This window comes from Homo sapiens, chromosome 9, assembly GCF_000001405.40.
Source record: "Homo sapiens chromosome 9, GRCh38.p14 Primary Assembly".
In the NCBI taxonomy this organism is placed as follows: domain Eukaryota; kingdom Metazoa; phylum Chordata; class Mammalia; order Primates; family Hominidae; genus Homo; species Homo sapiens.
In genome coordinates, this window is record NC_000009.12 from 64965389 (window position 1) to 64984564 (window position 19176).

Here is a 19176-nt window from a genome sequence, read left to right on the forward strand (position 1 = left end):
CATTCTCAGAATCTTGTTTTTGATGGATGCATTCAATTCACAGAGTTGAACATGCTTTATTATAGAGCAGTTTTGAAACACTCTTTTGTAGAATCTGCAAGTGGATATTTGGACCACTTTAAGGCCTTCTTTGGAAAGGGGTATATCTTCACATAAACACTAGACAGAAGCATTCTCAGAAACTTCTTCATACTGTGTGCATTCAACTCGGTGAGTTGAACCTTTCTTTTGATAGAGCAGTTTTGAAACACTCTTTTTGAAGAATCTGCATGTGGATATTTGGACGGCTTTGAGACCTTCTTTGGAAACTGTAATATCTTGACATAAACACTAGACAGAAGCATTCTCAGAAACTTCTTTCGGATGTGTGCATTCAACTCGCAAATTTGAACGTACCTTATCATGGAGTAGTTTTGAAACTCTCTTTTAGTGGAATCTGCAAGTGGATATTTGGACCGCTTTGAGGTCTTCGTTGGAAACAGGAATATCTTCACATAAACACTAGACAGAAGCATTCTCAGAAATTTCTTATTGATGTGTGCATTCAACTCACAGAGTTGATCTTTTCTTTTGACAGAGCAGGTTTGAAACACTCTTTTTGTAGATTCTGCAAGTGGACATTTGGAGAGATTTGAGGCCTGTGGTGGAAAAGGAAATATCTTCATATAAAAACTAGACAGAAGAACTCTCCAAAACATCTTTGTGATGTTTGCATTCAATTCACAGAGTTGAACATATCTTTTCATAGAGCAGTTTTGAAACACTCTTTTCGTAGAATCTGCAAGTGGATATTTGGAATGCTTTGAGGCTTACGTGGGAAACGGAAATATCTTCACATAAAAACTAGACAGAAGCATTCTCAGAAACTTCTTTGTAATGTGTGCGTTCAACTCACAGAGTTGAAACTATCTATATAGAGCAGGTTTGAAACACTCTTTTTGTAGAATCTGCAAGTGGACATTTGCAGCACTTTGATTCCTATCGTGGAAAAGGTAATATCATCACATAAAGACTAGACTGTAGCTTTCTCAGAAACTTCTTTGTGATGTATGCATTCAACTCACAGAGTTGAAAATACCTCTTCATAGCGCAATTTAGAAACTCTCTTTTTGTAGAATGTGCAAGTTGATATTTGGAACTCTGTGAGGTCTTCGTTGGAAACCGGGAATAACTTCACATAAAAACTAGACAGAAGCATTCTCACAAACTTCTTTGTGATGTGTGCATTAAACTCACAGATTTGGACCTTGCTTTTGATAGAACAGATTTGAAACACTCTTTTTTTAGAATCTGCACGTGGGCATTTGGAGCACTTTGAGGCCTATGGTGGAAAAGGAAATATCTTCACATAAAAACTACACAGAAGCATTCTCAGAAACTTCTTCGTGATGTGTGCATTCACCTCAGAGAGTTGAACATTTCTTTTGATAGAGCAGTTTTGAAACACTCTTTTTGTAAAATCTGCAAGTGGATAGATGGAATGCTTTGCGGCCTTCGTTGGAAACGGGAGTATCTTCACATAATCACTAGACAGAAGCTTTCTCAGAAACTTTTTTGTGCTGTGACATTCAAGTAAGGGAGTTGAACCTTTATTTTGAAAGAGCAGGTTTGAAACACTCTTTTTGTGGAGTCTGCAAGTGGACATTTGGAGAGTTTTGAGGCCTATGGTGGAAAAGGAAATATCTTCACGTAAAAACTACACAGAAGCATTCTCAGAAACTTCTTTGTGATATTTGTATTCAACTCACAGAGTTGAACTTTCTTTGATAGAGCAGTTTTGAACCAATCTTTTTGAAGAAACTGCAAATGGATATTAGGACAGCTTTGAGGCCTTCGTTGAAAACGGGAATGTCTTTACATAAACACTAGACAGAAGCATTCCCAGAAACTTCTCTGTGATGTGTGTATTCAATTCACAGAGTTGAACCTTTCTTTTGATAGAGCAGGTTTGAAACAATCTTTTTGGAGGATCTGAAGTGAACTTTTGGAGAGCTTTGAGGCCTATGGTGGAAAAAGAAGTATCTTTATATAAAAAGCAGGCAGAAGAATTCTCATAAAATTCTTTGTGATCGTGCATTCAACTCACAGATTCGAACATACATTTTGATAGAGCAGTTTTGAAACACTCTTTTAGTAGAATCTGCATGTGGATATTTTTACCGCTTTGAGGCCTTCGTTGGAAACGGGAATATCTTCACATAAAAAATAGAAGCATTCTCAGAAACTTCTTTGTGATGTTTGTTTTCAACTCACAGATTTCAACGTACCTTATCATAGAGTAGCTTTGAAACACTCTTTTAGCAGAATCTGCACGTGCATATTTGGAGAGCTTTGAGGCTTGTCGTGGAAAAGGAAATATCATCATATAAAAACTAGACAGAAGAATGCTCAGAAACATCTTTGTGATGTTTGCATTCAACTCAAAGAGTTGAACATACCTTTTAATAAAGCAGTTTTGGAACACTCTTCGTGGAATCTGCAAGTGGATATTTGGAATGCTTTGAGGCCTTCATTGGAAACGGGAATATCTTCACATAAAAACTAGACAGAAGTATTCTCAGAAAATTCTTTAGGGTGGTTGCATTCAACACACAGAGTTGAACATACCTTGTCCTAGAGCAGTTTTGAAACACTCTTTTTGTAGAATCTGCAAGTGGATATTTGGACCGCTTTGAGGCTTTCGTTGGAAACGGGAATATCTTCACATAAACAGTAGACAGAAGGATTCTCAGACTCTTCTTTGTAATGTGTGCTTTCAACTCACAGAGTTTAACCATTCTTTTGATAGAGCAGGTTTGAAACACTCTTTTTGTAGGATCTGCAATTCGACATTTTGAGAGCTTTGAAGCCTACGGTTCAAAAGGAAATATCATCACATAAAAAGTAGACAGAAGCATTCTCAGAAACTACATTGTGATGTTTGCATTCAACACACAGAGTTGAACATAACTTTTCATGGAGCAGTTTTGAAACACTCTTTATGTAGAAGCTGCAAGTGGATATTTGGATAGCTTTCAGGACTTCGTTGGAAACGGGAATATCTTCACATAAAAACTAGAGAGAAGCATTCTCAGAAACTAGTTTGTGAGGTTTGCATTCAACTCACAGAGTTGAACATACTTTATCATAGAGCAGTTTTGAAACACTCTTGTAGTAGAAGCTGCAAGCGGATATTTGGACCGCTTTGAGGTCTTCGTTGGAAACGGCATTATCTTCACATAATCACTAGACAGATGCTTTCTCAAAAACTTCTTTGTACTGAGTGCATTCAACTCACAGAGTTAACCTTATTTCATCGAGCAGGTATGAAACACTCTTTTTGTAGAATCTGCAACTGGACATTTGGAGAGCTTTGAGGCCTATGGTGGAAAAGGAAATATCTTCACACAAAAACTAGACAGAAGCAGACTCAGAAACGTCTTTGTGGTGTTTGCATTCAACTCACAAAGTTGAAGATACCTTTCCATGGAGCAGTTTTGAGACACTCTTTTTGTAGAATCTGCAAGTGGATATTTGGACCGCTATGAGGCCTTCGTTAGAAATGGAAATATCTTCTCATAAACACTAGACAGAAGCATTCTCAAAAACTTCTTTGTCATGCGTGCATTCAACTCACCGAGTTGAACATACTTTGTCATAGAGCAGTTTTGAAGCACTCTTTTAGTAGAATCTGCAAGTGGATATTTGGACCGCTTTGAGACCTTCATTGGAAACGGGAATATCTTCACATAAAAACTAGACAGATGCATTCTCAGAAACTTCTTTGTGATGTGTGTATTCAACATAAAGATTTGAACCTTTCTTTTAATAGAGCAGGTTTGAAACACTCTTTTTGTAGAATCTGCAAGTGGACATTTGGAGAGCTTTGAGGCCTATGGTGGAAAAGGAATTATCTTCTCATAAAAACTAGACAGAAGCATTCTCAGAAACAACTTTGTGATGTGTTCATTCAACACAAAGAGTTGAAGGTTTCTTTTGATATAGCAGGTTTGAAATACTCTTTTTGTAGAATCTGCAAATGGACATTTGGAGAGCTTTGAGGCCTATGGTGGAAAAGGAAATATCTTCACACAAAAACTAGACAGAAGCATTCTCAGAAACGTCTTTGTGATGTTTGCATTCAACTCACAAAGTTGAAGATACCTTTCCATGGAGCAGTTTTGAGACACTCTTTTTGTAGAATCTGCAAGTGGATATTTGGACCGCTATGAGGCCTTCGTTAGAAATGGAAATATCTTCTCATAAACACTAGACAGAAGCATTCTCAAAAACTTCTTTGTCATGCGTGCATTAAACTCAAAGAGTTGAACCTTTCTTTTGATAGAGTAGCTTTGAAATACTCTTTTAGTAGAATCTGCAAGTGGATATCTGGAGAGCTTTGAGGCCTATGGTGTAAAAGGTTATATCTTCATATAAAAATTAGAGAGAAGAATTCTCAGAAACTTCTTTGTGATGTTTGCATTCAACTCAGAGTTGAACGTACCTTTTCATAGAACAGTTTTGAAACACTCTTTTCCTAGATTCTGCAAGTGGATATTTGGAACGCTTTGAGGCCTTCGTTGGAAACGGGATTATGTTCACACAAAAACGGGCAGAAGCATTCTCAGAAACATCTTTGTGATGTGTGCATTCAACTCAAAGAGTTGAAACTTTCTTTTGATAGAGCATGTTTGAAACACTCTTTTTGTAGAATCGGCACCGGACATTTTTAGAGCTATGAGGCCTATGGTGGAAAAGGAAATATCTTTAAATAAAAACCAGACAGAAGAATTCTAAGGAACTACATTGTGATGTTTGCATTCAACTCATACAGTTGAACATACCTTTTGATAGAGCAGTGTTGAAACACTCTTTTTGTAGAATCTGCAAGTGAATATTTGGACCGCTTTGAGGCCTTCATTGGAAATGGAAATATCTTCACATAATCACTAGATAGAAGCTTTCTCAAAAACTTTTTTGTACTGTGTGCATTCAACTCACGGAGTTGTACCTTTCTTTTGATGGAGCAGGTTTGAAACACTCTTTTTCCAGAATCTGCAAGTGGACATTTGGAGTGCTTTGAGGCCTATGGTGGAAAAGGAAATATCTTCCCATAAAAACCAGACAGAAGCATTCTCAGAAAGTTCTTATGATGTGTGCATTCAATTCACAGAGTTGAACATACCTTATCATAGAGCACTTTTGAAACACTCTTTTAGTAGAATCTGAGAGTGGATATTTGCACTGCTTTGAGGCCTTCCTTGGCAAGGGGATTATCTTCACATAAACACTAGACAGAAGCATTCTCAGCAACTCCTTTGTGATGTGTGCATTCAACTCACAGAGTTGAACCTTTCTTTTCATAGAGCAGGTTTGAAACCGTCTTTTTGCAGAATCTTCAAGTGGACATATGGCAAGCTTTGAGGCCTACGATGGAAAAGGAAATATCATTATATAAAAACCAGACAGAATAATTCTCAGGAACTACTTTGTGATGTTTGCTTTCAAATCACAGGGTTGAACATACCTCTTCATAGAGCAGTTTTGAAGCACTCTTTTTGCAGAATCTGCAAGTGGATATTTGGAATGCTTTGAAGCCTTCGTTGGAAACGGGAATATCTTCAAATAAACACTAGATAGAAGCATTTCAGAAACTTCTTTGTGATGTGTGCATTCAACTCACAGAGTTGAAGCTTTCTTTTGATAGAGCAGGTTTGAAACACTCTTTTTGTAGAATCTGCAAGTGGATATTTGAACTACTTTGAGGCCTTCATTGGAAAAGGAGATATCTTCACATAAACACTAGACAGAATCGTTCTCAGAAACTTCTTTGTGATGTGTGCATTCCACTCACAGAATTGAACCTTTCTTTTGATAGAGCAGGTTTGAAACACTTTTTTTGTAGAATCTGCAAGTTGACTGTTGGAGAGCTTTGAGGCCTATGGTGGAAAAGGAAATATCTATAAATAAAAACTAGACAGAAGCATTCTCAGAAACTTCTCTGTGATGTTTGCATTCAACTCACAGAGTTAAACCTCCCTTTTCATAGAGCAATTTTGAAACACTCTTCTCTTATAATCTGCAAGTGGATATTTGGACTGCTTTGAGGCCTTCGTTGGAAACAGGAATATCTTCACATAAAAACTAGACAGAAGCATTCTCAGAAACTACTTTTGATGTATGCATTCAACTCACAGAGTTGAACCTTTCTTTTCATAGAGCAGGGTTGAAACACTCTTTTTGCAGGATCTGCAAGTGGATATTTGGAGCTCTTTGAGGCCTATGGTGAAAAAGGATATATCTTCACATAAAAACTAGACGGAAGCATTCTCATAAACTTATTTGTGATGTGTGCATTCAACTCACAGAGTTGAACCTTTCTTTTGATAGAGCAGGTTTGAAACATTCATTTTGTAGAATCTGAAGTGCACATTTGGAGAGCTTTGAGGCCTATGGTGGAAAAGGAAGTATCTTCACATAAAAACTAGAGAGAAGCGTTCTCAGAAACTTCTTTGTGGTGTGTGCATTCAACTCACAGAGTTGAACCTCTCTTTTCATAGAGCAGGTTTGAAACATTCTTTTCTTAGTATCTGCAAGTGGATATTTGGAGAGCTTTGAGTCCTATGGTGGAAAAGGAAATATCTTCACACAAAAACTAGACAGAAGCGTTCTCAGAAACGTCTTTGTGATGTTTGCATTCAACTCACAGAGTTGAAGATACCTTTCCTTGGAGCAGTTTTTAGACACTCTTTTTATAGAATCTGCAAGCGGATATTTGGACCGCTATGAGGCCTTCGTTGGAAACGGGAATGTCTTCACATAAACACTAGACAGAAGCATTCTCAAAAACTTCTTTTTCAGGCGTGCATTAAACTCAAAGAGTTGAACCTTTCTTTTCATAGAGCAGCTTTGAAACACTCTTTTTGTAGAATCTGCAAGTTGACATTTGGAGAGCTTTGAGGCCTATGGTGGAAAAGGAATTATCTTCATATAAAAATAAGAGAGAAGAATTCTCAGAAAATTCTTTACGATGTTTGCATTCAACTCACAGATTTGAAGATACCTTTTCATAGAGCAGTTTTGAAACACTCTTTTTGTAGAATATGCAAGTGGATATTTGAAACGCTTTGAGGCCTTAGTTGGAAACGGGAATATGTTCACACAAAAACAGGCAGAAGCATTCTCAGAAACTTCTTTGTGATGTGTGCATTCAACCCCAAGAGTTGAAACTTTCTTTTCATAGAGCATGTTTGAAACACTCTTTTTGTAGAATCTGCAAGTGGACATTTGGAGAGCATTGAGGCCTATCGTGGAAAAGTAAATATCTCACATATAAACTAGAGAGAAGCATTCTCAGAAACTACTTTGTGATGTGTGCATTCTACTCACAGAGTTGTACCTTTCTTTTGATAGAGCAGTTTTGAAACACTCTTTTTGTAGAATCTGCAAGTGAACATTTGGACCGCTTTGAGGCCTTTGTTGGAAACGGGAATATCTTCACATAATCACTAGACAGAAGCTTTCTCAAAAACTTTTTTGAACTGTGTGCATTCAACTCACAGAGTTGAACTTTTCTTTTGATAGAGCAGGTTTGAAACACTCTTTTTCTAGAATCTGCAAGTGGACATTTGGAGCGCTTTGAGGCCTATGGTGGAAAAGGAAATATCTTCCCATTAAAAACTAGACAGAGGCATTCTCAGAAACTTCTTATGATGTGTGCATTCAAATCACAAGGTTGGACATACCTTATCATAGAGTACTTTTGAAACACTCTTTTTGTAGAATCTGCAAGTGGATATTTGCACTGCTTTGAGGCCTTCATTGGCAACGGGATTATCTTCACATAAACACTAGACAGAAGCATTCTCAGGAACTTCTTTGTGATGTGTGCATTCAACTAACAGAGTTGAGCCTTTCTTTTCATAGAGCAGGTTTGAAGCCCTCTTTTTGTAGAATCTTCAAGTGGACAAATGGCGAGCTTTGAGGCCTATGGTGGAAAAGGAAATATCATTATATAAAAACCAGACAGAAGAATTCTCAGGAACTACTTTGTGATGTTTGCTTTAAAATCACAGGGTTGAACATACCTCTTCATAGAGCAGTTTTGAAGCACTCTTTTTGCAGAATCTGCAAGTGGATATTTGGAACGCTTTGAAGCCTTCGTTGGAAACGGGAATATCTTCAAATAAACACTAGATAGAAGCATTCTCAGAAACTTCTTTGTGATGTGTGCGTTCAACTCACAGAGTTGAAGCTTTCCTTTAATAAAGCAGGTTTGAAACACTCTTTTTGTAGAATCTGCAAGTGGATATTTGAACCACTTTGAGGCCTTCGTTGGAAAAGGGGATATCTTCACATAAACACTAGACAGAATCATTCTCAGAAACTTCTTTGTGATGTGTTCATTTCACTCACAGAATTGAACCTTTCTTTTGATAGAGCAGGTTTGAAGCACTTTTTTTGTAGAATCTGCAAGCAGACATTTGGAGAGCTTGGAGGTCTATGGTGGAAAAGGAAATATCTATAAATAAAAACTAGACAGAAGCATTGTCAGAAACTTCTTTGTGATGTTTGCATTCAACTCACAGAGTTGAACCTCCCTTTTCATAGAGTAGTTTTGAAACACTATTTTCGTAGAATCTGCAAGTGGATATTTGGACCGCTTTGAGGCCTTCGTTGGAAACGGGAATATCTTCACATAAAAACTAGACAGAAGCATTCTCAGAAACTACTTTGTGATGTGTCCATTCAACTCACAGAGTTGAACCTTCCTTTTCATAGAGCAGGGTTGAAACACTCTTTTTGCAGGATCCGCAAGTGGACATTTGGAGCTCTTTTTGGCATATGGTGGAAAAGGATATATCTTCACATAAAAACTAGACAGAAGCATTCTCATAAACTTATTTGTGACGTTTGCATTCACCTCTCAGAGTCTAACATACTTTATCATAGAGCAGTTTTGAAACACTCTTTTAGTAGTATCTGCAAGTGGATAATTGGAGGGCTTTGAGGCCTTCATTGGAAACGGGAGTATCTTTATATAATGATGCTTTCTCAGAAATTTCTTTGTGCTGTGTGTATTCAACTCACAGAGTTGAACCTTTCTTTTTATAGAGCAGGTTTGAAACACTCTTTTGCGGAATCTACAAGTGGACATTAGGAGCGCTTTGTGGCCTATGGAGGAAAAGGAAATATCTTCACATAAAAACTAGACAGAAGCATTCTCATAAACTTATTTGTGACGTTTGCATTCAACTCTCAGAGTTTAACATACTTTATCATAGATCAGTTTTGAAACACTCTTTTAGTAGTATCTGCAAGTGTATAATTGGACGGCTTTGAGGCTTTCGTTGGAAACGGGAGTATCTTCACACAATGAAGCTTTCTCAAAAACGTCTTTGTGCTGTGTGCATTCAACTCACAGATTTGAAATTTTCTTTTGATGGAGCAGATTTGAAACACTCTTTTTGTAGAATTTGCAAGTGGATATTTGGACAGCTTTGAGGCCTTCCCTGGAAACGGGGGTTTCTTCACATAAAAACTAGACAGAAGCATTCTAGGAAAATTCAGTTTGATGTGTGCATTCAACTCAGAGAGTTGACCCTTCTATTGATAGAGCAGGTTTAATACTCTTTTTGCAGAATCTGCAAGTGGACATTATGAGCGATTTGATGTCTATGGTGGAAAAGGAAATATCTTCACATTAAAACTAAACAGCAGCATTCTCAGAAACTTCTTTGTGATGTTTGCCTTCAATTCTCAGAGTTGAACATACTTTATCCTAGAGCAGTTTTGAAACACTCTTTTAGTAGTATCTCCAAGTGGTTATTTGGGCCACTTTGAGGACATCATTGGAAACGGGAGTACCTTCACATGATCACGACACAGAAGTTTTCTCAGAAACTTCCTTTGGCTGTGTGCATTCACCTCACATATTTGAATATTTCTTTGATAGAGCAGGTTTGAAACTCTCTTTTTGTAGAATCTGCAAGTTGACATTTGGAGCGCTTTGAGGCCTATGGTGGAAAAGGAAATATCTTCGTATAAAAACTAGACAGAAGCATTCTCAGAAACTTCTTTTTGATATGTGTACTCAACTCACAGAGTTAAACTTTGTTTTGATGGAGCAGTTTTGAAACACTCTTCTTGTAGAATTTTCAAGCTGGATATTTGGACAGCTTTGAGGCTTTCGCTGGAAACGGGAATATCCTCACATAAAAGCCAGACAGAAGCATTCACAGAAACTTCTTTGTGATTTGCGCATTCAACTCAAAGAGTTGAATCTTTACTTTGTTAGAGCAGCTTTGAAACACTCTTTTTGCAGAATTTACAAGTGGATATTTGGACAGCTTTGAAGCCTTCGCTGGAAACGCGAGTAGCTTCACATAAAAACTAGACAGAAGCATTCTCAGAAATTTCTTTGTGATGTTTCCATTCAACTCACAGAGTTGAACATGCCTTTTCATAGAGCAGTTTTGAAACACACCGTTTGTAGAATCTGCAACTGGATATTTGGAGCTCTTTGAGGCCTATGGTGAAAAAGGAAATATCTTCACATAAAAACTAGAGAGAAGCATTCTCAGAAACTTCTTTGTGATGAGTGTATTCAACTCCCAGAGTTGAACCACTCATTTGATAGAGCAGTTTTGAAACACTATTTTTGTAGAATTTGCAAGTGGATATTAGACAGCTTTGAGGCTTTCATTGGAAACGGGAATGTCTTCATGTGAAAAATAGAAGCATTCTCAGAATCTTCTTTGCGATGTGTGCATTCAACCCACAGTGTTGAAACTCTATTTTGATATAGCAGATTGGAAACACTCTTTTTGTAGAATTTGCAAGTGGATATTTGAACAGCTTTGAGGCCTTCACTGGAAACGGGATTATCTCCACATAAAAACCAGACAGAAACATTCTCAGAAACTTCTTTGTAATGTGTGTACTCAACTTAGAAAGGTAAACCTTTCCTTTGATAGAGCAGTTTTGAAACACTATTCTTGTAGAATTTACAGGTGGATATTAGGACAGCTTTGAGGCTTTCATTGGAAACGGGAATATCTTCACATTAAAACCAGACAGAAGCATTCTCAGAAACTTCTTTGTGATGTGTGCATTCAACTCACAGAGTTGAAATTTCCTTTGATAAAGCAGCTTTGAAACACTCTTTTTAAAGAATTTGCAAGTGGATATTTGGACAGCTTTGAAGCCTTCGCTGGAAACGGGGGTATCTTCACATAAAAACTAGACAAAGCATTCTCAGAAACTTCTTTGTGATGTTTGCATTCAACTAACAGGGTTGAATATTCCTTTTCATAGAGAAGTTTGAAAAAATCTTTTTGTAGTATGTGCAAGTAGACATTTGGAGCGCTTGAGGCCTATGGTGAAAAAGGAAATATTTTCACATAAAAACTAGACAGAAGCATTCTCAGAAACTTCTTTGTGAAGTGTGCACTCAGCTCACAGAGTTAAAACTTTCTTTGATAGAGCAGTCTTGAAACACACTTCTTGTAGAATTTACAAGTGGATATTAGGACAGCTTTCAGGCTTCCGTTGGTAATCCTGAAGATATTCGCTGGAATATCTTCACATGAATTGTAGACAGAAGCATTCTCAGAAACATCTTTGTGATGTGTGCTGTTGGAACTTTCCTTTGATAGAGCAGCTTGAAACACTCTTTTTGTAGAATTTGCAAGTGGATATTGGGACAGCTTTGAAGTCTTCGCAGGAAACGGGTTTATCTTCACATAAAAACTAGACAGAATCATTCTCAGAAACTCCTTTGTGATGTTTGCGTTCAACTCACAGAGTTGAACATTCCTTTTCATAGAGCAGTTTTGAAAAACACTTTTTGTAGAATCTGCAAGTGGACATTTGCAGCGTTTTGGGGCCCACTGTGAATAAGGAAATGTGTTCACATTAAAACTAGATAGAAGCATTCTCAGAAACTTCTTTGTGATGTGTTTACTCAACACACAGATTTGAATCTTTGTTTTGACAGAGCAGTTTGAAACCCTTTTTTGTATAATCTGCAAGTGGATATTTGGATATCTTTGAGGCTTTCGTCGGAAACGGGAATATCTTCACATAAAAACTAGAGAGAAGCATTCTCAGAAACTTCTTTGTGAAGTTTGCCTTCAAATCACAGAGTTGAACATTCCTTTTCATAGAGCAGTTTTGAAACACTCTTTTTGTAAAATCTGAAGTGGACATTTGGAGTGCTTTGAAGCCTATTTTGGAAAATGAAATATTTTCACATAAAAACTAGACAGAGGCATTCTCAGAAACTTCTTTGTGATGTGTGTACTCCACTCACAGAGTAGAACCTTTCTTTTTATAGAGCAGTTTTGAAACACTCTCCTTGTAGAATCTGCAAATGGATATTTGGACAGCTTTGAGGCTTTGGTTGGAAACGGGAATATCTTCACCTAAAAACCAGACAGAAGCATTCTCAGAAACTTCTGTGTGATGTGCGCATTCAACTCACAGAGGTGAAACTTTCTACTGACAGAGCAGCTTTTAAATACTCTTTTTGTAGAATTTGCAAGTGGATATTTGGACAGCTTTCAAGACTTCACTGGAAACGGAAGTATCTTCAGGTAAAAGCTAGACAGAAGCATTCTCAGAAACTTCTTTGTGATCTTTGCATTAAACTCACGGAGTTGAACATTCCTTTTCATAGAGGAGTTTTGAAAAACTCTTTTTGTAGATTCTGCAAGTGGACATTTGGAGCGCTTTGAGGCCTATGTTTAAAAAGGAAATATCTTCCCATAAAAACTAGACAGAAGCATTCTCAGAAACTTCTTTGTGTTGTGTGTATTCAACTCACAGAGTTGAACCTTTATTTTGATAGAGCAGATTTGAAACACTCTTTTTGTAGAATGTGCAAGTGGATATTGGGATAGTTTTGAGGCTTTCGTTGGAAACGGGAATATCTTCACATAAAAACTAGACAGAAACACTCTCAGAAACTTCTTTCTGATGTGTGTCCTCAACTCACAGAGTTGAACACTTCTTTTGATCTAGAAGTTTTGAAACACTCTCTTTGTAGCATCTGCAAGTGGACATTTGGTGTGCATTGAGACGTATGGTGAAATAGGAAATATCTTAACATAAAAACTGGACAGAAGCATTCTCAAAGACTTCTTTGTGATGTTTGCATTTATCTCACAGATTTGAACATTCCTTTTCATAGAGCAGTTTTGAAACACTCTTTTTGTAGCATCTGCAAGTGGACATTCAGAACGCTTGGAGGCCTATGGTGACAAAGGAAATATCTTCACATAAAAACTAGACAGAAGCATTCTCAGAAATTTCTTCACGATGTGTATACTCAACTCACAGAGATGAACCTTTCTTTTGCTGTAGCAGTTTTGAAACACTCTTTTTGCAGCATTTACAAGTGGATATTTGGACAGCTTCGAGGTTTTCCTTGGAAAAGGGAATATCTTCACATAAAAACTAGACCGAAGCATTTTCAGAAACTTCTTTGTGATGTGTGTATTCAACTCAAAGAGTTGATACTTTCTTTTGATAGAGCAGATTTGAAACACTCTTTTTGTAGAAATTGCAAGTGGATATTTGGACAGCTTTGTCGCCTTCGCTGGAAACCGGGGTATCTTCACATAAAAACTAGACGGAAGTATTCTCAAAAACATCTTTGTGATGTTTACATTCAACTCACATAGTTGAACATTCCTTTCAATAGAGCAGTATTGAAACACTCTGTTTGTAGTATCTGCTAGTGGACATTTGGAGCACTTTTAGGCCTCTGGAGAAAAAGGAAATATCTTCACATAAAAACTAGACAGAATCATTATCAGAAACATCTTTGTGATGTGCGCACTCAACAAAAAGAGTTGAAAATTTTCTTTGATGGAGCGTTTTTAAACAGTCTTTTTGTAGAATCTGCAAGTGGACATTTGGAACGCTTTGAAGTCTTCGTTGGAAACGGGAATATCTTCACATAAAAACTGTACAGAATCATTCTCAGAAACCTCTTTGTGATGTGTGTACTCAACTCACAGAGTTGAATCTTTCTTTTGATAAAGCAGTTTTGAAACACTGTCTTTGTGGAAACTGCAAATGAATATTTGGACAGGTTTGAGGCTTTCATTGGAAACGGGAATATCTTCACATAAAAACTAGACAGAAGCATTCTCAAAAACTTGTTTGTGATGTGTGCACTCAACTCACAGAGTTGAACCTTTCTTTTCACAGAGCAGTTTTGAAACACTCTTTTTGTGGAATCTGCAAGTGGACATTTGGAGTGCTGTGTGGCCTTCATTGGAAACGGGAATAACTTCACAAAAAACTAGACAGAAGCATTCTCAGAAACTTCTTTGCGATGTTTGCATTCAACTCACAGAGTTGAAACTTTTATTTTCATTTGAAACACTGCTTTTGTGGAATTTGCAAGTGGATATTTCGACAACTTTGAGGCTTTCACTTGAATCGGGAGTATCTTCTCATAAAAACTAGACAGAAGATTTCTTGGAAACATCTTTCTGATGTTTGGATTAAACTCAAAGAGTTGAACATTCGTTTTCATAGAGTAGTTTTGAAACATTCTTTTTATAGTATCTGCAAGTCGACATTTGGAGCACTTTGAGTCCTATGGTGATAAAGAAAATATCTTCAAATAAAAATTAGACAGAAGCATTCTCAGAAACTTCTCTGTGATGTGTACATTCAACTCACAGAGTTGAAAATTCTTTTTCATAGAGCAGATTTGAAACACTCCTTTTGTAGAATCTGCAAGTGGACATTTGGAGCGCTCTGAGGCCTTCGCTCGAAATGGGAATATCGTCACATAAAAACTAGACAGAAGCATTATCAGAAACTTCTTTCTGATGTGTCCTTTCAACTCACAGATTTGAACTCTTCTTTTGATAGAGCAGTTTTGAAACACTCTCTTTGTAGAATCTGCAAGTGGACATTTGGTGTGTTTTTGGTTTATGGTGAAAAAGGAAATATCTTCACATAAAAACTAGACAGGATCATTCTCAGAAACTTCTTTGTGATGTGTGTACTCAACTCACAGAGTTGAACCTTTCTTTTGATAGAGCAGTTGTCAAACACTCTTTAAGTGGAATCTGCAAGTGGACACTTGGAGTGCTTTGTGACCTTCTTTGGAAACGGGAGTATCTTCACATGAAAACTATACAGAAGCATTGTCAGAAACTTCTTTGTGATGTGTGCATTTAACTCACAGAGTTGAACCTTTCTTTTGATAGAGCAGTTTTGAAACACTCTCTTTGTAGAATCTGCAAGTTGATATTTGGACAGCTTTGAGGCATTCATTGGAAACGGGAATATCTTCACATAAAATCTAGACAGAAGGATTCTCAGAAACTTCTTTGTGATGTTTTCATTCAATTCACAAAGTTGAACATTCCTTTTCATAGAGCAGTTTTGAAAAACTCTTTTCATATTATTTGCAAGTGGACATTTGGAGCGCTTTGAGGCCTACGGTGAAAAAGGAAATATCTTCACATAAAAACTAGACAGAAGCATTATCAGAAACTTCTTTGTGATGTGTGTACTCAACTCACAGAGTTAAACATTTCTTTTGATACATCAGTTTGAAACACTCTTCTTGTAGAATATACAAGTGGATATTAGGACCGCGTGTGAAGCTTTCGATGGAAACGGGAATATCTTCACATAAAAACCAGACTGAAGGCATTCTCAGAAACTTCCTTGTGATGTGCTCATTCAACTCACAGAGTTGAAACTTTCTATTGATAAAGCAGCTTTGAAACACTCTTTTTGTAGAATTTGCAAGTGGATATTTCGAAAGCTTTGAAGCCTTCGCTGGACACGGGAGTATCTTCCCATAAAAACTAGACAGAAGCATTCTCAGAAACTTATTTGTGATGTTTGCATTCAACTCAGAGAGCTGAACATTCCTTTTCATTGAGCACTTTTGAAACACTCTTTTTGTAGTATCTGCAAGTGGACATTTGGACAGCTTTGCGGCCTATAGAGAAAATGGAAATATCTTCACATAAAAACTAGACAGAAGCATTCTCAGAAACATCTTTGTGATGTTTGCATTCAACTCAAAGAGTTGAACATTCCTTTTCATACAGCAGTTTTGAAAAACTCTTATTGTAGAATCTGCAAGTGGTCATCCTGAGTGCTTTGAGGCCTTCATTCGAAACGGGAATATCTTCACATAAAAAATAACAGAAGCATTCTCAGAAACTTCTTTGTGATGTGTGCATTTAACTCACAGATTTGAACCCTTCTTTTACAGAGCAGTTTTGACACACTCTTTTTGTGTAATCTGCAAGTGGACATTTGTTGTTCTTTGAGGCCTATGATGAAAAAGGAAATATCTTCACATAAAAACTAGACAGAAGCATTCTCAGAAACATCTTTGTGATATCTGAAGTCAACTCACAGAGTTGAAACTTTCTTTTGAGAGATCAGTTTTGAAACACTCTTTTTGTGGTATCTGCAAGTGGACACTTGGAGCGCTTAGTGGTCTTCGTTGGAAACGGGAATATCTTCCAATAAAAACTAGACAGAAGCATTCTCAGAAACTTCTTTGTGATGTGTGCGTTCAACAACCAGAGTTGAACTTTTCTTCTGATAGAGCAGATTGGAAACACTCATTTCGTAGAATTTGCAAGTGGATGTTTGGACAGCTTTGAGGCCTTCAATGGAAACGGGAATATTTTCACATAAAAACAAGACAGAAGCATTCTAAGAAACTTGTTATTGATGTGTGTCCTCACCTGAGAGAATTGAACATTTCTTTTGATAGAGCAGTTTTGAAACACTCTTTTTGTAGGATCTGCAAGTGGATATTTGGACGGCTTTGAGGCTTTCGTTGGAAACCGGAATATTTTCACATAAAAACTAGAGAGAAGCATTCTCGGAAACTTCTTTGTGATGTTTGCATTCAACTCACAGAGTTGAACATTCCTTTTCATAGAGAAGTTTTGAAACCCTCTTTTTGTAGAATCTGCAAGCAGACATTTGGAGCGATTTGAGGCCTCCAGTGAAAAAGGAAATATCTTCATATAAAAACTAGACAGAAGCATTCTCAGAAATTACTTTGTGATGTGTGCATTCGACTCACAGAGTTGAAACTTCCTTTTGATAGAGCAGATTTGAAACACTCTTTCTGTAGTATTTTGAAGTGGATATTTGGACAGCTTTGAGGCCTTCACTGGAAACAGGTATATCTTCACATAAAAACTAGACAGAAGCACTCTCAGAAACTGCTTTGTGATGTTTGCATTCCACTCACAGCGTTGAATATTCCTTTTCATAGAGCTGTTTTGAAACAATCTTTTTGTAGAATCTGCAAATGGACACTTGGAGGACTTTGAGGGCTATGGTGAAAAAAGAAATATCTTCTCATAAAAACTATACAGAAGAATTCTCAGAAATTCTTTGTGATGTGTGTACTCAACTCACAGAGTTGAACCTTTCTTTTAATAGAGCAGTTTTTAAATACTGTTTTTGTAGAAAATGCAAGTGGATATCTGGATAGCTTTGAGGCTTTCGTTGGAAACGGAAATATCTTCACATAAAAACTAGACAGAAGCATTCTCAGAAACTTCTTTGTGATGTTTACCTTCATCTCACAGAGTTGAAAATTCCTTTTCATAGAGCAGTTTCGAAACACTCTTTTTGTAGACTCTGCAAGCGTTCATTTGGAGCTCTTTGAGGCTTTCGTTCAAAAGGAGAATATCTTCACATAAAAACTAGACAGAAGCATTATCAGAAACATCTTCGTGATGTGTGCATTGAACTCACAGAGTTGAACCCTTCTTTTGATAGAGCAGTTTTGAAACACTCTCTTTGTAGAATCTGCAAGTGGATATTTGGTGTGCTTTGAGGCCTATGGTGAAAAAGGAAATATCTTAACATAAAAACTAGGCAGATGCATTCTCAGAAACTTATTTGTGAAGTGTTAACTCAACTCACAGAGTTGAACCTTTATTTTGATAGAGCAGTTTTGAAACACTCTTTTTGTGGAATCTGCACGAGGACATTTGGAGCGCTTTGTGGCCTTCGTTGGAAACGGGAATATCCTCACATAAAAACTACACAGAGTCATTCTCAGAAACTCCTTCGTGATGTTTGAATTCAACTCACAGAGTTGAACATTCCCTTTCATAGAGCAGTTTTGAAACACAGTTTTTCTAATATCTGGAAGTGGACATTTTGAGCGCTTTGAGGTCTATGGGGAAAAAGGAAATATCTTCACATAAAAACTAGACAGAAGCATTCTCAAAAACTTCTTTGTGATGTGTGCCCTCAACTCACAGGGTTAGACCTTTTTTTTGATAGAGCAGTTTTGAAATACTCTACTTGTAGAATTTAAAGTGGATATTTCGACAGCTTTGAGGCTTTCGTTGGAAACGGGAATATCTTCATATAATAACCAGACAGAAGCATTCTCAGAAACTTCTTTCTCATGTTTGCAATCAAATCACAGAGTTGAACATTCCTTTTCATAGAGTAGTTTTGAAAAACCCTTTTTGTACAATTTGCAAATGGACATTTGGAGCGCTTGGAGGCCTACGGTGAAAAAGGAAATATCTTCACATAAAAATTAGACAAAAGCATTCTCAGAAATTTCTTTGTGATGTGTGTACTCAACTCACAGAGATGAATCTCTCTTTTGCTAGAGCAGTTTTGATTCACTCTTTTTGAAGCATTTACAAGTGGATATTTGGACAGCTTTGTGGCATTCATTGGGAACGCGAATATGTTCACATAAAAACTAGACAGAAGCATTCTCAGAAACTTCTTTGTGATGTTTGCATTCAGCTCACAGAGTTCAGCATTTCTTTTCATACAGCAGTTTTGAAACACTCTTTTTGTAGTATCTGCTAGTGGACATTTCGAGCGCTTTGAGGCCTATGTTGAAAAAGGAAATATCTTCACATAAAAACTAGACAGAAGTATTCTCAGGAACTCCTTTGTGTTGTGTGTACTCAACTCACAGAGTTAAACCGTCTTTTGATAGAGCAGTTTTGAAACATTCTTCTTGTAGAATTTACAATTAAATATTCTGACAGGTTTGAGGATTTCGTTGGAATGGGGAGTATCTTCACATAAAAACTGGACAGAAGCATTTTCAGAAACTGCTTTCTGACATGTGCATTCAACTCACCGAGTTGAAACTTTCTTTTGATAGAGCAGATTGGAAACACTCTTTTTGTAGAATTTGCA